This window comes from Homo sapiens, chromosome 2, assembly GCF_000001405.40.
Source record: "Homo sapiens chromosome 2, GRCh38.p14 Primary Assembly".
Lineage (NCBI taxonomy): Eukaryota > Metazoa > Chordata > Mammalia > Primates > Hominidae > Homo > Homo sapiens.
The window spans coordinates 14,236,566-14,262,067 of NC_000002.12; the positions used below are offsets into that span (position 1 = coordinate 14,236,566).

General features: G+C 35.9%; 1 long non-coding RNA gene across 1 annotated transcript in view, besides 2 other annotated features; it reads right to left on the reverse strand.

Moving 5' to 3' along the window:
• Nucleotides 1-25,502, reverse strand: part of LINC00276 (long intergenic non-protein coding RNA 276) — a 172,085-nt gene that overhangs the window by 7,692 nt on the left and 138,891 nt on the right. The window lies entirely within an intron of this gene.
• Nucleotides 18,240-18,854: an enhancer, noted in NCBI's record as "NANOG-H3K27ac-H3K4me1 hESC enhancer chr2:14394929-14395543 (GRCh37/hg19 assembly coordinates)". NCBI's record gives its function as "activates a minimal SCP1, AML or CMV promoter by ChIP-STARR-seq in naive H9 embryonic stem cells {active_cell/tissue: H9 hESC(naive)}" and the evidence as "EXISTENCE:reporter gene assay evidence [ECO:0000049][PMID:30033119]".
• Nucleotides 18,855-19,468: an enhancer, noted in NCBI's record as "NANOG-H3K27ac-H3K4me1 hESC enhancer chr2:14395544-14396157 (GRCh37/hg19 assembly coordinates)". NCBI's record gives its function as "activates a minimal SCP1, AML or CMV promoter by ChIP-STARR-seq in naive H9 embryonic stem cells {active_cell/tissue: H9 hESC(naive)}" and the evidence as "EXISTENCE:reporter gene assay evidence [ECO:0000049][PMID:30033119]".

A 25,502-nucleotide genomic window follows, 5' to 3' on the forward strand; every position in this document is an offset into this window, starting at 1 on the left:
TTTCCTGATTTTTCCTGACTATTCATTCAAAAATATTGTTGTACTGGGTGACATTCCTTTCTGATTCTACCTCAAATCAAGAGTTTGTTAGAAAAGCTAATCTAAGCTAAATTTCTCTAGCATAACACACGTCTTAATAGTAAAACACCCTAGGGATTTTAAGCAGGAAGAATAGCCCACGGTGGCACTGAATTCAAACATTAAAGCTTTCCTTAAATTTATGTGCTTTCTTATAGATTCTTGTGAACTCTCTTAGTCATTGCCTAAATTCAGCCTCAAAATATGTCTGTGGAGTAATGAAGATTATTACTTTGTTCCAAAAAAGGAAAAACTGGAGCTTAAAGATGTAAAAGGGGAAACTTGTAACATTCAAAGTTGAACAAAGGTGGGAACAGTGAATGCCTTATTTAAGAAAAAATGCAAATAGACTAAGGGGAGAGGGATGGCTCCTCCCAGTGCTCTGGTTGGTGACCATTTAGTCTAACATTTTAGTCACAAGGTGAGAATTCATTTGGGTGTCATATGTATAACACCATAATTTGTCAACCCCTGAGTGCCTGTCTCTACTAAGTTACTTTATGTGTTATGATAATGATGAGAAATAGCAGTGCTCTCTAATAATATTGCACTTATTTAACAAGTTCCAGATGGGCAATTTTGAGTAAAAACTCTTATATATCTTAGACTATTTATCAATTGCTTCAAGAGAATGGCATATTTAAAGCTAGGGTGTTCACTTAGATTTCCTTTAAGAATTTCCAAGTTAATTATCCTTGTATAAGTGAGATTAGTGAAAATATTGGCTTTGCTCTTAATACTCATTGATGCTGTATAACAAATAAAATATATGAAATTATTGAAAAACGAATGAAAATTAGCATTAATGACAATTATATTTAAAAAATATTTCATTAGAGCAAAATATATGAAGATATATAAAGATCTAACTTTTATTTAAATGTGCTTTCATCATTGCTTGAATAAATGAAGCAATATCCTGCTTCATTTATTCCTGGGATTTTCCTCAACATAAAGAAGCATGATACTTTTGAACACATCTTGAATTTTATCATAGAATGAGGTATATTGCAAGACAACCTCTGGAACATAGGTCAAGGAGCTTCCTAAGATGAACTAGTTACCAAAACCACTCTCCTATAATAACAATATTTTTAAATTCCTTCTTGTTCATTGTTTATATAGCTTCATTTTTATTACTGGCATATGTCAAGGGAAATGAAGTGGAAATTGATAGCAATAAGCACCTATATAAGCAGAGAAGAAAGTTCTACAATGAATAAACTTAACTTCTGCTTTCAGAAACTGAATAAAGAAAAGCAAACTAAACACAAAGTAAGCAAGATAAGAAAAGAATAAAGATCAAAACAAAAATAAAGAAAAAATCAAAAACAGGAAAAAAAACAGAAAAATAAATAAAACCAAAAGCTGAATTTTTAAGACCAATAAATTGATAAACCTGTAACCAGATTGATCAGGAACAAAAGAGGGAAGAAAGACACAAGTTTCCAATAATTGATATAAGAAAGATGACATCATTATTGATTCTAAATATATGAAAAGAATAATAAAGTAATATTGTAAACAAAGTAATGCCAATGAATTTGATAATTAAGATAAAATGGAAAAATTCCTTGAAAGATACAAAGGATCAAAGCTCATTCGAGAAAAAACAGTTAACCCTAGTAGCTCTAGGCCTATTAAAGAAATTGAATTTGTAGCTTAAAACCTTTTAACAAAGGTAACTCTGGGCTCAAATGGTGTGACTGGTGAATTCTACCAAACAGGAAAAAGCACTATTGATTATAGATGTAAGAGACAAGGAAATAGTCTCTATGACTGTTACAAATGCACAAACTCTTCCAGGAAATAGAAGCAAAAGGAATACTTCACAATGAATTCTGAGGCCAGTGTTAACTTAATAACAAAAGCAGACAAATACATTGTAAGAAAATAAAACTACACATCAATATCCCTTGTAATCATAAATATAAAATCTTTAAAAAAATTTAGAATTAAAACAAAATTATTTTTAAGGTATATGATATGGTTTGGGTCTGTGTTCCCACCCAAATCTTATGTGGAATTGTAATCTCCAATGCTGGAGGAGGGGCCTGGTGGGAGATGATTGAATCATGGGGACAGATTTCCCCCTTGCTACTCCTATGGTAGAATTCTCACAAGATCTGGTATTTTAAAACCATGTAGCAACTCCTGCTTCACTCTTTTCCTCCTGCTCTGACCATGTAGGATGTGCCAGCTTCCCCTTTGCCTTCCACCATAATTGTAAGTTTCCTGAGGCTTCCTCAGTCATACGTCCTGTACAGCCTATGGAACCATGAGCCAACTGAATCTCTTTTTTTTTTTATTTTTTTTAAATTTTATTATTATTATACTTTAAGTTTTAGGTTACATGTGCACAACTTGCAGGTTTCTTACATATGTATACATGTGCCATGTTGGTGTGCTGTACCCATTAACTTGTCATTTAGCATTAGGTATATCTCCAGTGCTATCCCTCTCCCCTCGGACACACGAAGGGGAACATCACACACCATAAATCTCTTTTCTTTATAAATTTCCCAGTCTTAGTTCTTTATAGCAATGTGAGAACGGACTAATCCAGCATATCATAACCAATTTGGGTTTATCTCAGGGATGCAGACTTGATTTAACGTAGTCAACCAATGTATTCACCAAATCAATAAACAAAAAGTAGAAAAATATAAATATGATCTTCTCAATAGGTACAGATAAAGCAATTGTCAAAACTGAATATCCATTCCTTATAAAAAAAGCTCAGAAAACTAGAAAACTAGGAAGGACATGAAAAAAATCTATAGCTAAACACCATACTAATGTTGAATGGCTGAATGCTTTTCCTCTAAGGGCAGGTATGAGACAAACATGTTTGCTCTCACTGTTTCGAAGCCAATGAAACAGGGCAAAATAATAATAATAATAATAATAATAACAATAAATAAATAAAACATCCAAGCTGAAAAGAAATAAAACTGCTTTTATTCACTGTTTCTTAAAAATTGAAGCATACACCTATCATATATTCCACCCATCTCGCTACTAGGAATTTACTCAAGACAAATGAAAGCGTATGTTTATACAAAAGCTTGTATACAAGTGTCACATAGCACTTTAATTTGTAGTAGCCCCAAACTGGAAAAGACTCAAATTTCTATCAACAGATGAATGGTTTAAAATATCACGTGATGCACATAAAAACATAGGTGAATCTCAAAATAATTATGCTGAGTGAAAGAACATAGACCATAAACATTGCATAAAATATGATTCCATTTTTATAAAATTCTAGAAAATAAAAGCTGATCTATAGTGCCAGAAGGTAGATTAACTGTTACTAAAAAGTACCAGGTACTGGTGAGGGGGAGGAGTTCAAAGGGACAAGAGGAAATTTTGGGGGCGTCATTTATATGCTCACTATCTTGATTGTGGTGATAATTTCACAGACTTATATATTTGTCAAAACTAATCAAATTGTACACTAAATGTATGTAGTTCATTGTATGTCAGTTATACCGCAGTAAAGCTACTCATATTTGTTTCTGCTAATCAAAAAGTTGAAATCAAGGGAGAGGGAAAGATGAACCATAGGCATAAACAGAGGAATATAACAGCACATGCCTTGACAATTCATGATTATTCTCTCCTCCAGATCAAAATAAGAGGTCTTTTTAGGTAAATGAACCTATTTTTTATATTTTAAGGAAAGTTATATATTAGCTTGCAATGTTATATACTAGCTTAATATAATATTACAAATAATGAATATCCCTGTGATTGGACTCTTAGAACATTAGTTCATTTAGAAAACAGCACTCAGGCCGGACGCAGTGGCTCACGCCTGTAATCCCAGCACTTTGGGAGGCCGAGGTGGGCAGATCACGAGGTCAGAAGATCGAGACCATCCTGGCTAACATGGTGAATGAAACCCGGTCTCTACTAAAAATACAAAAATTACCCAGGCGTCGTGGCTGCCTGTAGTCCCAGCTACTCGGGAGGCTAAGGCAGGAGAATGGCATGAACCCTCGAGGCGGAGCTTGCAGTGAGCCGAGATCACGCCACTCCACTCCAGCCTGGGCAACAGAGCGAGACTCTGTCTCTAAAACAAACAAACAAACAAAAAAGCACTCAAAGAGTTGATTGTTATCAACAAGAACAACATGCAGTTAATTTTGCAATACACTGAAGCGCAAATAGGCTTTTTAAAGAATACAAAGAAGTTAAAATTCACTGACTAGATGTCTTTAAGTTACGACATTTTTCACAATATTCTAGCAGGAAAAATTATATTACCCTCTGGCATGAAAACGTGGTTTCTTAAGAATTTTAGACCTGACCTGAAATGTCAAGGTTACTCTCCAGATCAAATGATTTTCTGAATGATGGTCTCAAATGAGAGTGGCAATGGCCAAAACATCCTTTTATTTGTTTAAAATGCAAGCTAAGCATTCCAGAACCCGCTGCAATCTCTCCACCAGTTCTCTCACCTTAGTACATACATTGCACTGATTCTTACTCTCAACTCTTCACCACTGTGTATAGTCACAGGACTTTGGAATTGAAAGGGATCACGGGAATCAACTTGCTCATATCTTTTATTATTTTTTTAAGAAAAGAGATCAGATAGTCAGAAAAGAAAAGCGAGTGCCTCAAGGTAAATGGTTCAGTTGGAAGCAGGTTAAAATATATAATTTAGATCTCTTTATTCTCAGTCCAAAACTTTTCTTGCACCACTGGATTTCTTAAAATCCTCAACCCCTATCACACCTACACATGTGTGCATGCGTGTGCACACACACACACACACACACACACACACACACACACTGAGATACTAACATTTTCAGGATAGAAATCTTGATCTGAAAATATCATTATTTCATACCCAGTAATTTCATTTGACAGAACCCCCACTATTTTGTTTTTCTTCTGCAATTGATTCCAAGATACATTAAGCTCAGGTCTTGAATAGAGCCAGCTTAATTTGAGAATTAATGTTCCTGTCATCACCAATATGCTTCTTTGCAGTTTTGTTCTCTATATGGGAATACATATCTGACAATTATCATGTCTGATATCTTACTTTAGGTATATGTGGCCCAGCCTGAAGTGGAAACACCTGTGAAAGCATGGACAATGTTGGCAAGTCCTGGTGCATCTCCTCTATTTGATTTAGCTGAACTGAGACATATATGCAAGGTGATTAGAGTCTTACGATTACTCTCAGTGTGACAACAATTTTTAAAAATCACACCTTCATAAGATCTGTGAAATTTCACTGAAGACCACAGCCAAGATACCATCTCATCAATAAAATTCTATTTCTGAAATTTAATTTATTTTTTAAACCCTCTTTTATACGAGAGATGAAACAAATATGAGAAAGTTGTCATTGGCTTTAACCTAATACCTTTACACCAAGCTAAATTGCCTATAGTCTCTGGTGGTTGCTGCCCAAGAGATCCAGCCTTTTCCAGTCTGGCTCCTTTAAGCAATTTTCTTGACCTTTTGGATTTCCTCTGACTTTGTTATCACAGTTTGTCTTATTTAAGGGTTTACATGGAAAAAGAATCTTGGTGTTTTTTCTTTAGTCCCCATATCTACAGATATAACAGGTTCGATTTCCTTAGATTTATTGCCATGTGTTCCCAAGCACAGGCATGTGTATATCTGCTCCTCAACTTTGACAATTTGGGGAAATATGATCCAACATCAGCCTTTAGAGCCTAAAACTCGAAGTATAATAATAATAAAATAAAAATAAAATAAAATAAAAATATTTTTATTACACTATAAAATGGACAAAAATTTACAATATTGGTATTTGTTGTAGAGTAAAATAAGAAAACTGATGGTTTCAGGATTTGATTTTTTTTAAAGTAGTAGGTGACCTGTACAGAAGTCCTATGTGAGCTCATCATACGAGACTTACAAAAGACATTAGGATGAAAAAATAAGTGTTTTATCCTTTATTGGCCACCAACTTTTACCTTCTAAAGAAGTTAGAGAAGCTGAGAATAGAACAGAAGAAGAGGATATGAGGGCCCACAGCACCCCAAGCCTAGGGAAAGTGGCTTTCAGTAAACAACATGGATAATAATAACATGCTTGTTTCCTGAAGTTTGGAAGGCAGAGGGGATGAGTATTAGATCCACAGGCAGAGACAGAGAAATCTACATGGAGAGAATACATCTTGCTAGTTAGGCTTATAACAAAGCAAGTCACTGAAGTGGGATTGTCCAGAGCTCTGAGTTTGTCAAAGAAAAAAAAAGTGAGAATGTCTGTCATGAATCAGTTGTGCTCTGTACAAAGGGCAGAAGATTCCATCCAAACAAGGCACTTGGTGGGCTGAAGGACCTAAGCACACAGAATGTGCCCTGCTGAATGTTTAGAAGCTACAGAAGGAGTAGTCCGTGGCCATACAGAAGGAAATATATTTGCCAGCATTAAGAGAACACTACATGTGTTCCCTGGTGGGGAAAGGTTTAAGAAGATCAACAAACATGCTCCTGTGTGAGAAAGAGTAACCAAACACCTGCTAAGCCCAGGGAGACTGAAACCAACTCACACCACCAATCAATTGGAACTTTCTGACACCGTTTGTTGCCTCCCATCACCATTTTCCCATCAGAACCATTAGATAAGCCCACCTTTAAAACAAGTTCAATTTTTAAATTTACACCAGAAATGGATTGTTTATTATATTTAGGCTTTTCCTTTGGGGGTTGTTGGATTTAAGTCATCAGGCTTGTTGGTAGATATGTATCTACTTGTAACTTTATTTTTTACCATAATCATGTACCATTTTGTTTTCAAATATAGCTTTTAAAATATTGTAAACATTGCCTGGAAAAAATGTGTAGCACTGCTTTACTATGTATGAGTTGGTTAGTCACACCATTCAAACACCCCTATGTCTTGTCTCTCAGTCAAATATTAAAAAAACAGTACACACACAGTTACTACTGGTGAAATATGTACATATGTTGAACACAATCTAATCATATTTATTAGAATCAGGCTAAATGTAATAGTTTTTAATTTTTTGAATTAAATTTGTCAATTATTAAGTATTATCATTTAAATTATCTTATTTGATAGTAGCAACAGCCCTGTGGAAAACTGTATCCCTTTCTAGGCTTATAATTTGTTTGTTTCTATTCAGGGACCTAAAACTCAGAGATATTAGGGACTGTACAATGTTTGCTATTGTACTGTGTCCTTTTGATACCCAATGCAGATTTCTATCTTCAAAAATTTTGCAATATTGCATTAACTGTATTAATGTGAAGTAAAACAATACTAAGGAAATGTATTGATTTTATTGTCATATTAAAAATTAAGTGGTTATTATTATACATACCCACTCAGTTTTTGTGCATGTGTATACATATAGAGTATATTTATAGCAAAGACAATTCTTTAGGTTTTTAAAAATTGGTTTTGCTTTTTTCGTGTTGTCTTAACTTTGTATCATCATTTCAGTGCTCTTTTCATAAGATAACATCAGCTCTCCACAGAGGAATCCTAATGTAAGTTGTTCGTACAACAAAAATTTTATTTGGAGCAATCTGAAACTTGCATAGCAAAAGTGTGAATTCAGAAATAAGAAAATAGTTATCTTAAAGCTTGTATAAATTTGATATATTAAAGGGATCCTCATTCAGAAATTACTGATTCTTTGTTACTACAAATTATAATAACTGGTTTCCAGATTTTCTAAGCCATATTACATTTAAAGCACAAAATATAAATACTATTTGATAATTGTTTTATTAACTGAGTACTTATTGCTTAGTTGATACAGTTGAAGCCCTGTAGTAAGCTTCAAGTCTACAAAAACTTAGAACAGATGGCCCATGTCTTCAAATATCTTATATGTTTATAATTTCACATACACAAAATCTGTCAATCAGCATGCAGTTCCTCCATTCTGAACACATAAAAACCACAGACTCAGCCAGACTCACTCACTCGATGGAATGACCTGCCTGCGGATAGGAGCTATACATTTCAGATCTTCTGAGAGCTGTTCTGTCACTCAACAAATGTCCTCTCCACTTTGCTCACCCTCAAATTGTCTGCATACTTCATTCTTCCTTGATGTGAGACAGGAACTTGGGACTCTGAATGGCAGGACTGAGAGAGTTGTGACAAAAACAGGCTGACACATATCCCCCACCACTTGCTACATTGCAGGTGACCAGAAGCAGAGAAGATCTACAGCCCTCCTGGGAGCCCAAACCTAGGGGTTCCCTGAGCCAGGGTTGTGACATGCTGTAACTATCTCTTTGGGGCTCTGTGGTTGTGGGTGTCTCTGAGCTTTTGGACACCACTATGTTCCACTCATCCAGATGTGGGTGCCTGCAGTGGAAGCCACTTGTGGTACAGCTGGTCCGACTGCAGCCTTGCACAGAGCCAGCACCTGTGCCAGTGCCTAGAGCTGCCCACCCCACAGCAGCAGCCAGCATGATAGACTGCGCACAGTGTCCAGACCCCATGCTGGCATGCTTAAACATGCCTCACCACTCTGTGCCTGGCTTGCCGTTGGCAGGTGTGGAATCCATGTCAGTAGTATGGGCTGAGCACAGCCTGCCAGGTCAAGTGGGAAGAACAAACCCACCAGCCCAAGTAAAGTCTTCCCCAGCTACAGAGGTTTCCAGCTGGTGAAGTAGCAGAGAACAAATGCTGTGTCACTTCTATTACATTAGTCAAAGCCAGTCATGTGGAGAAACCTAGATTCAAGGAGTGAAGACTCCACCTCCTGAAGAAAGAAGATGCAACATCAATTGCAAAAGGGCAGGCATACTGGCATAGGAAGAATTTGTGGTCACTTTTATAATTTGCCTCAACAGACTGTAGATGGAATAGAGTATTCCTTGGTCAGTTGGACTAGGTGACATGGAATGTCTTCTGCACCCTCCTGATTTGTCTTTTCACTGAGTGTTCTGTTCTTTAATGGCAGAATCTTTCTCTTACTTTACTGTATCCTCATATTACTTAGTGCAGGGCTAGTCTTACCTCTTCTACACACACAGTGATTGCTGACTTACCATAAATATTTCCCACAGTTTCAATTGAGCTATTTCTAAGAGAATGTGGTCAGAAAGATTTATAAAAGTTTACAGAAGTCCATAATAAAAAGTTTGATAATTTTTATATGAATCTCTGTTAGACTATTAGAATATAATAAAGGTAGAATATTATAGACCATCAATAAACTAGAACTTATGTGTAAACTATTCACATTTAGACCTTATATGATGAAGGGACGCAGCAGAATGAAAGGGAGAAGTAGCTTCCTTCAAAAAAGAAAACAAAATATTTAAAAATACAAAATTCTTTAGAGTTGATCAGAATTGAGAGATAAAGCTCTAATTCTCAGTAATAAGAGTTTCTTTCTTTTTGTTGACAGAGGATAAAGAGATGAGTGTACTTAGATGGAACTCATATTGTCTGGGGACTTTCTGCAAAAGCCAGATGTGGCATGGAACCTCTCTGAATTACCACTTATGCAATATTACAACATATTGTCAGGGAATGCTGTGCTACAAAATTAAAACAGTTTAAAAAATTCAGTAAGGAAAGATGCCAAGCATGCTTATGCTGAAGCCAAGGGTCACAAGGAAAAAAGATCAAAACATAATGGCAGGTCAATCACTTATTTTTTTATTTAATCATTTGTTTATTGTTAATTCATATATTCCCTAATTCATCCAACCAATATTTATTGATAATCCACAATATATGAGATATTAGAGATAAGGAGATCATAAAAGAACAAATAGCAAAAGCAAATAGACAATCATTCAACAAAACTACCGCTGACCTATGCTTTCAAGGAGGCAAACAAGAAAACAGATAAAAAATGTATCCATAGCAAAGACACATACTTAATTATATATTTTTGGACACGGATAATGCATGTAAGCTGTAGAACAATACCTTTGTTTGTTGATTTGAAATGCATTTTTCTACTACAAGAGATGTCACTTTTTCTACATAATTTTTTTTAATTAATTTTTTTCAAATGCTTAGTTATATGTTTTTAATACATCTCAAAGGAAAACAGAAATACCACAAGAAAAAAGCATTATGAACAGTGATCCTCAAGAATTTATAATCATTAGACATAACTCTAATGGGCAAAATTTTTACCCACATGGAAGTAACTTTAAGCAAGTCATTTGTTCTTGTTATGAAAAATCTGTTCTGGGTGATCTGAAAGAATCTTGGGTTTTGTGGTTAGGCTGCCTATTTAGAATTTAAATAAATGTTTTCACTCAACCGTATTGAATTTTAAGATAACAGACAGAGAGCCAAATCATGAGTGAACTTCATTCACAATTGCTACCAAGAGAACAAAATACCTAGGAATACAACTTACGAGGGATGTGAAGGACCTCTTCAAGAAGAACTGCAAACCATTGCTCAAGGAAGTAAGAGAGAACACAAATAAATGGAAAAACATCCCATGCTTACGGATAGGAGGAATCAATATGAAAATGGCCATACTGCCGAAACAAATTTGTAGATTCAATGCTATCCCCATTAAGCTACCATTGAATTTCCTCACAGAATTGAAAAAAAAAAAAAAAAAAAAACTACTTTAAACTTCATTTGGAACCAAACAAGAGCCCACATAGCCAAGACAATCCTAAGCAAAAATAACAAAGCTGGAGACATCAAACTACCTGACTTCAAACTATACTACAAGGCTACAGTAACCAAAACAACATGGTACTGCTACCAAAACAGATATGTAGACAAATGGAACAGAACAGAGGTCTCAGAAATAACACCATACATCTATAACCATGTGATCTTTGACAAACCTAACAAAAACAAGCAATGGGGAAAGGATTCCCTATTTGATAACTGGTGTTAGGAAAACTGGCTAGCCATATGCAGAAAACTAAAACTGAACCCCTTCCTTACATCTTATACAAAAATTAAGTCAACATGGATTAAAGACTTACATGTAAGACCTCAAACGACAAAAATCCTAGAGGAAAACCTAGGCAATACCATTCAGGACATAGGCATGGGCAAAGACTTCACGTCTAAAACACCAAAAGCAATGGCAAAAAAAAGCCAAAATTGGCAAATAGGATCTAATTAAACTAACGCGCTTCTGCACAGCAAAAGAAACTGTCATCAGAGTGAACAGGCAACCTACAGAATGGGAGAACATTTTTGCAATCTATCCATCTGACAAAGGGCTAATATCCAGAATCTACAAAGAACTTAAACAAATTTACAAGAAAAAAAATAAACAACCCCATAAAAAGTGGGCAAAGGATATGAACAGACACTTCTCAAAAGAAGACATTTATGCAGCCAATAAACATGAAAAAAAGCCCATCATCACTGGTCATTATAGAAATGCAAATCAAAACCACAATGAGATACCATCTCATGCCAGTTAGAATGGCGATCATTAAAATGTCAGGAAACAACTGATGCTGGAGAGGATGTGGAGAAATAGGAACGCTTTTACACTGTTGGTGAGAGTGTTAATTAGTTCAACCATTGTGGAAGACAGTGTGGCGATTCCTCACGGATCTAGAACTAGAAATACCATTTGACCCAGCAATCCCATTACTGGGTATATACCCAAAGGATTATAAATCATTCTACTATAAAGACACATGCACACGTATGTTTATTGCAGCACTGTTCACAATAGCAAAGACTTGGAATGAACCCCAATGCCCATCAATGTTAGAATGGATAAAGAAAATGTGGCACATATACACCATGGAATACTATGCAGCTGTAAAAAAAGATGAGTTCATGTCCTTTGCAGGGACATGGATGAAGCTGGAAACCATCATTCTCAGCAAACTAACATAAGAACAGAAAACCAAAACCATATGTTCTCACTCATAAGTGGGAGTTTAACAATGAGAACACATGGACACAGGGAGGGGAACATCACACACCGGGGCCTGTCAGGGACTGGGGGGCTAGGGAAGGGATAGCATTAGGAGAAATACCTAATGTAGATGATGAGTTGATGGGTGCAGCAAACCACCATGGCACGTGTATATGTATGTAACAAAACTGCACGTTCTGCACATGTACCCTATAACTTAAAGTATAGTAAAAAATAAAATAACAAAATAAAATATACACACAAAAGAAGCAATTTAGGTAAACTTTTCAATGTTGTTTATACATTGTGTAACTATTACAAATTTAAGATTAAGATAATTAAGAGGATATTAAGAAGGTAATTTCCATCACTCTGTACATACTCTTTGTGTGACTTCACAGTCTCTAGAAATTACATTTGCCTTTTCTAGAGTTTCATATAAATGGGTTCACAAAATATACACTCTGGTCTATGGCTCCTTCACTCAGCATGTTTCAGAAATTCATCCATGTTGTTGTTATCATTCACTACCTCCATTATTCAGCACATTCAGTTGCTTATAGTTTTGGGATATTAATCCTCCTATGGACTTTTATGTATTATTCTTTGTTTAGACATATGTTTTCACTTCTCTTGCATAAATATTTTAATAGATTTTCTCTGTGTGTGTAGTGGTATCTCATTGTGACTGTAAGTTGTATTTCTGTGATGACTAATGACAAGGAATTTTTTAATAAATTGTATAAAAAATTGTTGTATTTCTGTGATGTATAAGTTGTATTTCTGTGATGACTAATGACAAGGAATTTTTTTAATATGCTTATTTGCTGTATCTTTTGTAAAGTGTCTTTTCAAATATTTTTTCACAGTTTTAAATGGGATTGATTGTCCCATAATTGAGTTGTAATTTTTTAAATTAAAATCTTTTATTATATGCACATATGCACACACACTTATGTAGCAAATATCAAAATATGCAAACTATTGCAACTACTTTTTCCAGATTGTGGTTTTTCTTTTTATATTTTTTTGGTGTTATACAAAGAGAAAATGTTCTTAATTCTAATACAGTCCTATTCATCAATCTATTTATTTTATGATTTGCACATTTTATGTCCTGAGCATATATGACTACCTCCAAGATCATAAACATCATTTCCTATATATTCTTCTAGAAGTTTTATAGTTTTAGATTTAGGTATGAGTATATTATCCATGTTGAATTGATATGTATGGCATTATTTAAGGATTGAGTTTTATTTTCAGGTGGATATTCAGTTGTTCCAGTAACATTTGATAGAAAGGCTTATGATTTCCAATTGAGTAACTTTGGCATCTTTTTGGAAAATCAATTGCACATACATATATACATCTATTCCGGGAATCTTTTTCTGTGCCCTTGTCAATGCTTGTTTCAATAAACACTTTTTTGCTTGGTGTAGTTTTATAATAAGTCTTAAAGTTAAGTAGTGTGACTCTTATTTTGTTTTTCTTATTTAAAATCACTTTGACTAACCAGTCTTGGTGGCATACACATGTAGTCCCAGCTGCTCAAGAGTCTGAGGCAAGGGAATCCCTTGAGCCCAGGAGTCTGAGGTGGCAGTGCACTATGATTCCACCTGTGAATAGCCAGTGCACCCCAGACAGGGCAATATAATGTGGGACTGTCTCTTAGAAACAAATGATTTGACTATTACAAGTCCTTTGCATTTCTACATTTATTTTATAATAGCTTGTCAATGTCTCAAAATAGACTGCTGAAGTATTTTCTGAGTTTGTATGAATTGATAGGTCAAACTGAGGAAGTGTGCCATTTTAGAAATATTGAGTTTTCTAAGCTTGGTACATGATATTTCTCTTAATTTACTTATATCTTAATTTCTCTCAGCAATGTTTTCAAGTTTTATTATAAAGGTTTTACACAAGTAGTGTTAATTTATCTATATGCATTTAATTTTTAATTGTATGTTTCATTAATGTTTTAATTTGAATTTCCATTTTTAAAAATTATTGAAAATAGACATACAATTGATATTTTGTGACCTGGTATCCTAAAACCCTACTAAATGCAGTTTTGAATTCTATTAGAATTGTTTTGTAGATTTCTTAGTGTTTTTTTTCTTTCTTTCTTTCTTTTTCTTTTGTTTTTGATGGAGTTTCGCTCTTGTTCCCCAGGCTGGAGTGGTGCAGGGGCATGGTCTTGGCTCACTGCACTCACTGCAACCTCCACCTCCCAAGTTCAAGCAATTCTCCTGCCTCAGCCTCCTGAGTAGCTGGGAGTACAGATACGCCACCACACCTGGCTAATTTTTGTATTTTTAGTAGAGACAGGGCTTTGTCTGCAAATAATGTCAGTTTTGTTTCTTTCTTTACAACTTGTTTGATGTTGATTCATTTCTCTTATTTTATTATGCTGATTAGGATCTCAAATATGGCATTTGATAGAAAAGGTAAAAATGAGCATCCTTTCCTTTTTTCTGACCTTAGAAAGTATTTGGACTTTCACAATAAATACAATATTAACTGTAGTTTTTTGTTTATTTGTGTTTTTGCTTTTATTTTTTGTTTTTTGAGACAGAGTCTTGCTCTGTCTCCCAGGCTGGAGTGCGGTGGTGTGATCTTGGCTCACAGCAACCTCCTCTTCCTAGGTTCAAGCGATTCTCCTGCCTCAGCCTCCTGAGCAGCTGGGACTACAGGTGCCCGCCATCATGCCCAGCTAATTTTTGTATTTTTAGTAGAGACGGGATTTCGCCATGTTGGCCAGGCTAGTCTTGAACTCCTGACCTCAGGTGATCCTCCCGCCTCGGCATCCCAAAGTGCTGGGATTAAATGCGTGAGCCACCACGCCCAGCCTATTTGTGTGTTTTTGTTTTGTTTTTGTAGTTGCCTTTTACCAGGTTAAGGCAGCTCCCTTTCATCCTTTCTTTCCTGTTTTCTCAGAGGTTTGTTTGCTTTTTTATGAATGGGCGTCGAATTTTGTCAATTTTTTTTTTTGCATCTTTTGGGATCCTACAGTCTTTTATTAGTCTGTTATAAGTGATATTTCATTGATTGTTTTTTCAATGTTGACTCGGCCTTGCATTCCTGAAGTATATACCATTCGGTCATGGTGAATCTTTTTACATAATGCTGGATTCAGTCTGCTTATATTTTAGGGATCGTTGCCTCTATGTTCACAGTATGTGTTTCTGTAGTTTTCTTGTGATGTCTTTGTTGGGTTTTAATATCGGGTTTTAGCTTTGTGAAAAGTTGGGAATTATTCCTCTTGCTCTATTTTCTGAAGGTTTAGTAGATTCAGTATTCAAAAAATATTTGATTGAATTCATCTGTGAAACAATCTAGGCTTAATATTCATTGGTTGGTTTTGTTCTTCTGTCTATGTCAGGGGACATGGTTAATTACTATTTCAATTTTAAAAATATATGCAGAGTTGTTAAGATTTTAATTTTTCTTTCTTTTATTTTGAGACAGGGTCTCACTCTGTGGCCCAGGCTGGAGTGCATTGGTGTAATCTTGGCTCACTGTAACCTCAAATTCCTGGGCTCAAGCGATCTTCCCACCTCAGCCTCCGGAGTAGTGGGGACTGCAGGCGCACACCACCGTGCCAGGGTAATTTTTGTATATTTTGTAGAGACGGGGTTTTGCCATGTTGCCCAGCCTAGTCTCGAATTCCTGGGCTCAAGCAACCCATCTGCCTCAGCCTCCCAAAGTGCTGGAGTACAGGAGTGAGCTACTCCACCTGGTCAATTTTTCTTAATTCAGTTTTGTTAAACCATGCTCTTCACTGAATTTGCCTACTCTAAGTTGTCAGATGTATTGAGATAAATATTTTCATAAAATCCTCTTATTGTGATATCAGTGTGTAAAATCTCAGTGAGGTTTTTTCATTCCTAATGTTGCTACATTTTATCTTCTGCCTTTTCATTTTGTTTCAATTCATTGAAGTTTTATTGTTATTCTTGCTTTTGTGTGCCGTTTTTAGTTTCTATTGCTTACGTTTTCTAGTTCATTGATTCCTGTTAACACACACACACACACAAACATACACACACACACACACACACACACACAATGCACACAGAGTTGATCTTGAACAACATGGGTTTGAACTGCATGAGTTCACTTACATACCAATATTGTTCAGCCTCTGCCACTCCTGAGACAGCAAGACCAACCCTTCCTCTTACTCCTCCTCCTTAGCCTACTCAATGTGTAGATGAGAATGAAGAACTTCATGATGGTCCATGCTTCAATTTAATTAATATGTTGTCTTATGATTTTCTTTATAATACTTTCTTTTCTCTGGTTTACTTTATTATAAGAATACAATATATAATGCATATAATGTACAAATAATGTGTAATCAGCTGTTGATGTTATTGGTAAGGTTTCTGGTAAACAGTAGATTATTAGTAGTTAAATTTCTGGGGAGTCAAAAGTTACACACAGATTTTCACTTGAGGGAGGGAGCCTGGCTCCTCTAATACCTGAATTGTTCAAAGGTCAAATCTGTGTGTGTGTGTGTGTGTGTGTGTGTGTGTGTGTGTGTGTGTGTGTGTATTTATAATTTTATTTTTTAAACTTTTTTAAATTTGCTTTTCTGTTTCTAATTTGTTAAAATGGAAGTTTAAATCATTTAATTTAGAATTTTATTTTTTTCTAATGTAACTTTTTGAAGTTACAATTTCCCACTAAGCACTAATTTAACAGTTAAATTATGTTATGCTATGTTATGTTTTCATTATCATTCAGTCAAAATATTTTCTAATTTCCCTCATGATTTTTTCCTTTGGTCCATGGTTTATTTAGTAGTGAACTGTATAATTTCCAAAGATCTTTGGCTTTTCCATGTGCCTTATTGTTGTTGCTTTCTGATTCAATTCTTACATAATTAGAGAACATATTCTATGTTATTTTAATCTTTTTAAATTTATGGAGAATGGTATTTTTCTATTTCTCCTTTTAGGTATGCTAATTTTAGCTACATGCAATTAAAAACTCTTTTATAGCATATTCAGAACCTAGAATTGTGTATCCATCTAGTCTATATCTCCTTTTGTCAGTAAGAAATTTCCCACTCTGTGGCTAGTAATAATTCTTTTTCTAAAGTCTACTTTGTGTTATACTAGTATAGGCATTTCAGCTATACTATTGGTTAGTGTTTGCACCATCTTGTTCTATTTGTTTACCTTTAGATTATGTGTAATTTTATATTCAAACCACCTTTTATGTAGTCAGCTGGTTGGGTCTTGCTTTTTTATTTAGTTTGTTAATATATGTCTTCTAACTAGAATGCTTAGATGATTTTATTTAGTGCAATTATTGATATGATTTGATTTATAACTAACATCAGATTATTTGCTTTCTCTTCATCCCATCTGTTCTTTGTTTCTTTTATTTTCTTGACCAAAGGATTAATTTAATATCTTTAAGATTGTATTTGATCTCTACCATTAACTTATTACTTGTAGCTTTCTTTTCTTCTGGTTGCTCTGATTTTAAAGAAATCCACCTTTAACTTTTAACATTTGCCTTCGAATGACATTATACTACTTTCCCTATAATGGACTTTCAAATCCTCCTCTGATTTTTAGACTATTGACTTTTCAATACGTTATAAGCTGCATAATACATTGTTATTATAATTGCTTCTAAAACTGAGTGATCTTTTAAAATAATTTTAATATGAGAAACGTATTATATACTTACCAGCGCATTTATTGTATCCCACACTGTAATTCTTTTGTATAGACCCAGGTTTCCAACTGATAACACATTCCCTTTTATTTAAAGAACTTCATTTGATGTATTTTTTTGTGGCTTAGATTTGTTGTCAATGGCCTCTTGCCTTTTGTTTGTCTGATTCACCCTCATTTTTACAAGAGATGTTGACAAGCTATAGAATTATAGTTTAATTTTATTATTTCAGCACTTTAAAAATATCATTCCATGTCTTCTTATTTAATAGTTTTCAGTCATTCTTATTTTTATTTCTCTGTACAGAAACAAAGCCGTTTTTAAGATTTTTGTCTTTATTATTGGTTTTCACCAATTTGAATGTAAATGCGCTTTGGTGTGGTTTTCTTTATGTTTCATCTTAGACTTCATCAAACTTCTTGGATCTATAGTTTCACAGTTTTCACCAAATATTTCAGCCATTGTTTCTTTAAGTATTTCTCTGCTCCTTCTTCCTTTCTGAAACTCAATTACACATTCCGAATGGCTTCACATATTCTTATATCCTACTTCCACAAATTATGTTTACTTTTGTTGTTGTGTGGTCTTTTTTTTCCTAGCATTTCATTGTCAATAATTATTATTGCCCCATCTTCAACTTTGCTGAACTTTTCTTTTGAACTATTTAATCTGCTGTTAATACAACTTTTTAATTTTTAATTTTTGAAATTTCAGATATTGTATTTTTATTTCAATAAAATAAAATGAGTGGGTAGCTCCTATCTGCAGGCAAGTCGTCTCGTTGAGTGAGTGACTCTGGCTGAGGCTGGGGTCTTATGTGCTCAGAGTGGAAGTGCATACTGATTAGTCCATGGGTGGCCAACAGTGGGCCTGGAAAAACCACCATTCAATTGGCCGAAATGTCATCAATGAAGTTCTCACTCTGGGCGTGGACTTCACTGGAACTGGCGGCCTGGCCCCCAGGCTTCAGGAGGTTGCTGGCTTAAAGGAGGAGTTTCACCAGGGTCCCACCCCTTTCCATCAAGGAGCCTGTCTGCTTCCCGCAGCGGCCATCAGTATGCTGTCCACAGCGCCCCGCCCCTGCTGATGGGCGCCTGCAGGCCTGCCCTGCCTCTCTCCAATGCTTGTCAGTGCCGGGGCCAAGGCAGCAGGGGGCTGGTGTGTCAGTGCCGCCTCAAGCACACGCACACCCAGCTGGGTGACAGCAGCACTCGCGCTCAGCCACAGCTTTGCTTCCTAATGGAGCTGGTGCTGTGAGCAGAGAGAGACCAGGGAGCAGGAGCCAGCACTTCTGAACCTATGGGGGCAGGGGACTTCCTGGGTCCCCGAGAGCACAGGGATGCCCGGGTCCAGAGCTGTAGCTGGGTGAGTGCAGCTGTGCCCAGGCTGCCTCCAGCCCTACCAACTCAATAGGGGGCAAGGCTTCTGCTGGGATTACTTGTTCTTGGCCCCCAACCAGCTCCGTGGTGGCGCCTCCCCCACAGCAGCCGGCATCTTTGCAGCGGCTGCTCCAGACGGGCTGAAGCTGTCACCAGAAGGAAATATAATAAAAGCAGAGACTTGAAAAGAATATATGCATTATTATATGCCCTCTCTTAATGATCTTGAGACTTTAGGAACAGGAGAAAAAGATCAGGCTACTCTGTCCGACAGTGAGAGAAATGTCAACCAGTCATCCCTGTCATCCTGATCGACAGCTTAATGGCTGCCTGATAAGTACATGAGGCCATCATATATCATACAGCCACAACCTGACCTGCCAGTTGACCACAGATATATGAGGAACATTAGTAGATATCTGTCAAGATAGCCTAGACCCAAGGGACAATCTGGCCAAGGGCTGAATCACAAGCTAAATAAATGCTTAATTTTATTTTTTAATTTTATTTTTGAGATGGAATCTCGCTCTGTCACCCACGCTGGAGTGCAATGGCACGATCTCGGCTCACTGCAACCTCTGCCTCCCAGGTTCAAGCAATTCTCCTGCCTCAGCCTCCTGAGTAGCTGGGATTACAGGCGTGCGCCACTACGCCCAACTAATTTTTGTATTTTTAGAAGAAACGAGGTTTCACCATGTTGGTCGGGATGGTCTCAGTCTTCTGACCTCGTGATCCACCTGCCTCGACCTCCCAAAGTGCTGGGATTACAGGTGTGAGCCACCATGCCTGGCCAATAAATGCTTACTTTTAAAGCCACTAATTTAGCGGCAAAAGCTATTTGATATAAATAGAAAAGAGTCAAAAATCTCGATTGTCTATGCATTTCCAGTTAAATATTTAAGAAACATTTATAGAGCCTAAATTCTTATAAGCTCACCTCAATTTAATAAATATGTATCAAGTGCTTATTTTTACCTAGAAAATAAAGTCATAAAGGCAGATAAGTACCAAGCATTCTATTTACATTAATATAACATGAACAATCCATCATTTTATGAACTATGTTTCCAAATATATTCTAATATGATTTTCAAAGTCACTATCCGTGTTAAAGATCTGCATGAGACCCCAGTGAAAATGTTTAAGTAGCTCATGGCTTTGGAAGAGAGGAGGTAGAACACATGATGTATTGAAGATATTCTTCCAGTAGGACAGAATTTCCATTTCATGTTTGCATTGTTTAAACATAGTGTGCACTAAATACAGAGTGCATTATTACTATTGTTTTCCCCTCATTAATAAGCAAAATTATCTTGTAAGAAATTGGAAAAGCTGTAAAGAATGCAAGTGTGCCAGATTGTGCTCAGTGAAGCCCCACCATCACCTCTTTCTGGGTTCTTCTTGGTATCACAGGAGAGAAGCCAGGAATGTTAATTCTCAAAATCCCTTGTACTTTAGATTCAGCTAATGAGTCGCTAGAATGCTATTTAGAAACAAGTGAGAAAGAAACGCTCTTCCCCCACAGAAGCTGCAGGCCGCTTGTAATAGTCACGTTGGATTCCTTGACTTACTGGAGTCCTCTCTGTTGGCAAGCAACAGAAATCATACCTATTGCTTGTAGGAAACTAAAAACATAGACGGTGGCTTCTCTTGGCTTCCAGGGACCTCCTGAAGAACATCCACTTTAGTCCTGGGAGCAGATGGTATCACCAACTACCTCTGATCCCTGTACTTCTACATTTCTTAAAGGCAGATTCCTAACCTTTACATCCCCAGCCCTCCAAATGACTGTATGAATTTCTAGTTCCATATATTAAATCTCTATCCAATAAAATTACCTATTATGCTTTTATTCCTGAAATACTTCAACTGATAATTTTTGTAACTGCAAATGATTCCAGGAAAATAGAGCCCCTCCACAATGACTGTGGGACTAGATTCTCAAATTCAGTTTGAAATGAAGGCAGAAATGACCACAACACCCGCAGAGAATGGGGCATATAACTACTTATAATATCACGGAATATAGTTACTTATAATTTCCCCTGTATTTACTTAGAAAGGAGAATCTATTGAAGGCAAGGTATAGAAAGAGCACATGTTGTTAAAACAGAATGTTATAAAGTATATATTAAGTGAGCTGCTTCTTACTGCTCTGAAGAGCTTGGAGAAGAAAGAAATGACATGGAGTTCTGTAACTTCTTGACCACATGTAGATCTACCGAGTCTCATGACTAATGTTAGAACTTGCAGGTAAGAAATATGAAAATTTTGGGAACATGAGAATTCAGAAGTTTAAGTAAGTGATAAAAATTACAACTTTTTTAAAAAACAGAGGATTGACCAGTCTTGCCTGAAATAGAGACAGCAAATTCTGATTCATGTTTTGCCTCTGTTACTAATTGTTGCTGTATGCCCTTGAACAAATTACTCAATCATCCTGTGCCTATTCAAAGGAAGTACAGAGATGAAGCTGGAGAAGTCCTCCTTTGAGCTCATAACAGAGAGCTTAAAATGAGTGAAAGCTTCACTCTAGTCTGGGTCACAGTGAGACCCATGTCTCAATCAATAAATACATAAATTAATTAATTAAATGGAATGAAAAAAGTAGCCTCTGTCATGTGTTTGAACTTAAGTGATACTATAAAGGTTTTCCACAGAAGGTCAGTTCTGTTTCTCATACACTCATAATTGGTTGTCTGCCCCTTTGTTCTAACTTGCCAAACCTGACAGATTAATCCTCTAGAAAGGCAGAACCTTTAAACCATTCCTCTCCTCAATACATGTCATGCTTTCCTGCTGCATACTAAATTAACCTAAACTCATCATCTTGGCATTCAAGGCTTCTAAGATGGGAATTATTGAATTAAAGTGCTATTATCTAACCCAGTTTTTTTTTTACATTGGAAAACAGCTGTTTTATTAATTGGTTCATTCAGTAATTCATTCAATCATTCAACAAACCTTTATTGAATGCTTTCAGTGTGCTAGTCACTGTGTGAAATACTAGAGAACAATGTAAATAAAGCACAGTTCCTACTCTCAAAGAGTTTATATGTTAGTAGAGAAGATATAAATATTGACAAAGTAGTATCACATGGTGTGATAGATGCTAGGATGTAGGCTTCTGCAGACAGGTATGAAAACCAAATGGAAAGCTAAGCAAACTAAAAAGACATGCAAAATGAAATTTTCATAAGGTCCGTAAGTTTTAGGTAAAGGAAAAGGGGACTAAAGATTTTTTAGTAACTAGGATATGACATATGTAAAACACAAAGACCAGAAGATCCTGGAATGTTTGCAATCTACCTCCATATGGCTAGAATTCAAAATGCTAAAAGGGACATAGTAAGATAAACTCATTAGGACATAAAACATAAAGATTGTAGCATATCATGTTAAGGTGTTGGAACATTATTGTGAAGATAATAAACAACCATCCAAGGGCTGTAAGAAGGGGAGAGAATCATGAAGACAGTAATTTCAAAATACTTGATAGCAATATGAGTAAACACAATTAGAAATGACAAACATTGCAATTGATCCCACAAAATTACAAAACATCCTCAGAGACTATTATGAGCACCTCCATGCACACAAACTAGAAAATCTAGAAGAAATGGATAAACTCCTGGAAACAAACAATGTCCCAAGATTGACTCAGGAAGAAATTGAAACCCTGAACAGATGAATAATGAGTTCCAAAATTGAATCAGTAATAAAAATAAACCTACCAATTAAAAAAAAAATCCCTGGACCAAATGGATTCACAGCCAAATTCTACCAGATATACAAAGAAGAGATGGTACCAATCCTACTGAAATTATTCCTAAAAAATCAAGGAGGAGGGATTCCTCCCTACTCCTTTTATGAAACCAATATTATCCCGATACCAAAATCTGGCAAAGATACAACAAAAAAAGAAAACCACAGGCCAATATTCCTGATGAACATAGACACAAAAGTCCTCAACAGGATACTAGCAAACTGAATCCAGCAGCATATCATAAAGTCAATTCACCATGATCAAGTAGACTTTATTCCTGGGAGGCAAATTTGTTTCAACATACACAAATCAATAAATGTGATTCACCATGTAAACAGAATTACGAACAAAAACCATATGATAATTTCAATAGAGGCAGAAAAATCTTCAGATAAAATTCAGCATCTCTTCATGTTAAAAACTCTTAACAAACTAAGAACCAAAGGAACATACCTCAAGAAAAAGAGACATCTATGACAAACCCACAGCCAACATCATACTGAATGGGCAAAAGCTGGAAGCATTCCCCCTAAGAACTAGAACAAGACAAAGTGCCCACTCTCACCACTCAACACGGTACCAGATGTGATAGCCAGAGCAAGTAGGCAAGAAAAGGAATTAGAAGGCATCCAGACAGGAAAAGGGAAAATCAAATTGTTCACTGATGATATGATTCTATACCTAGACAACCCTAAAGACTGCCAAAAGGCTCCCAGACCTGATAAATAACTTTAGTAAAGTTCAGAACACAAAATTAACATTCAAAGTATTTGATAGCAATATGGAAGGTAAGTGGGGGAGAGGGATAATGAAGACAGTAGGAGAAATTGGGACGTTTTACAACCTAGAAAATAAATGAAAAGCCTTGAATGAAGAAAATGAGAGTGAAGATGGAATGAAGAGGTCAAATTCCGTGACACTTCCCTGTACACATGGTTTTCAGTAGTCACTGGGCTACACTGCTGATGACATGGAATATCAAGGTAGATTTTCATTTCACTCTAATGCTAGATAAGACAAGCACTTCTTTTTTGGATCTCCAGAACTTTCACTGGAGAAGGCCCTGTGCCTTAAAATATATCATTCTGTTCCTCATTCCTGCCAAGGTATAATAAGTAATAAAGGAGGACCTGTACAATTTAGAGGCCTCAGCTTAGAGTGTTCAGGCTCCCAGATTGTAAACCTTAAATCATCTGATTTTTCCTTCTGCTTGCTAAATTGTGTATGAACATGTTGTGGGTGCAGGATTTCAGAACACTAATCTCTATCCCCACTCCAATTGTGAAAATAGCAGCTTGAGGAAAGGGATGAGGGGGAGTCAAGTAGCAGAAATTCCTCAGTTAGAAAGAAGAAAGTATTTGAAGGAATAAAAAACTTTACATTGTTTAATTCCATAAAAGGAATAAAAGAATCACTTGCAATTTTTTAAAATAAAACGTTATGTATTAAGCACCAAGCAAAGTCACTAATTACCATGTCACATAATATATTAACTTTAGAAATGGTCAATTAAAAAAAGCATTACTGTTGAGAGGTGATATTGAAATAATACTGCCATTTATTTATTCTTCTAAAGGAAATTGGGAATCTTAAGCAAACTTATACTCTTATTTTTATACACATACTATTATATTTAGTACTTAATCTGTGCAAATCCCAGAATGAGTTTTAAGCCTGGAATTTGAAAGCTTCATGGCCAAGAGCAAGGAACTGAAGAATGGGCTCTTGGGTCCTCAACTGAAACGTGGATATTTGAAGTAGGTAATGAACTCCAAGAGCCAACTTGCGGCCTACCCAGGTCTCATGTGTAATTTCACTGTCGTAAAAAGATGTCCTTCCTCCATATTTTCTTGAAACTGAAGGTGCTGTATGTCCAACTGCATTATAACCAAAATAATGTCCAGAAGATCAAATGTCTGGCCAGAGCTTTCTGTGATTGAGGGCCAGACAGTTGGATAAGTCCCTGAGTGCTTTAGTAGACTAAGCTAGAATATTCATACACTTCTGGGATAAAGATAGGATTCTTATTTCCAGAGAGACCTATGAAGAAAGTATAGGTCTCTGAGAGGCCACCTCCCATATCTTGCCGAAACCCCAGAGTCTTTTTCCTCCCATTTACACCCCGAGAATCCTACTCAGACCTTTACATTTTGTCGATAATTGTGACGTTTTTCACCCTTTTTGCATTTTCCTTGTCTAAAAAAACGTTCAGAATCAGATATGAGTCTGTTAAATTCCCTGGGAAGCTATCAAGATTCTTCCCAGTCTCCCTTTCCACCTGTACTAACTATATGGTCATATACATTACAGAATATTACAGAATGACATTTATAACTATGTTCTGAATGAATGTATAAATAAATACATCAATTCATTAAAGCATTAATTTTAAAGGTTGGTGGAGAAGTACTAAAAAATGAAAATAAAGTAAAATAGAAAGATACTTATTTCACTCCAATAAGACCCCTCAGAGGTTTATGAGCTCATTTCCTCATAGCAGTCATGGGGTCTAGAGTATCTCAACCTCATGTTAAGTTACAAATGCAGCATGCAATATCTTTTCTTTTTATTATCTTTGGCTGGTCTCATTGGGGGAATGCCTCTTTTAGAAAATATTTTTTGAAATTTTTCTACAAAATGTCACTATTTGGACATCAAACAGCCACATTCCAAAGCTAGTTTGTCACCTCAGAGGTGCAGCTATTTACAGTAAAGAAACTTCTCA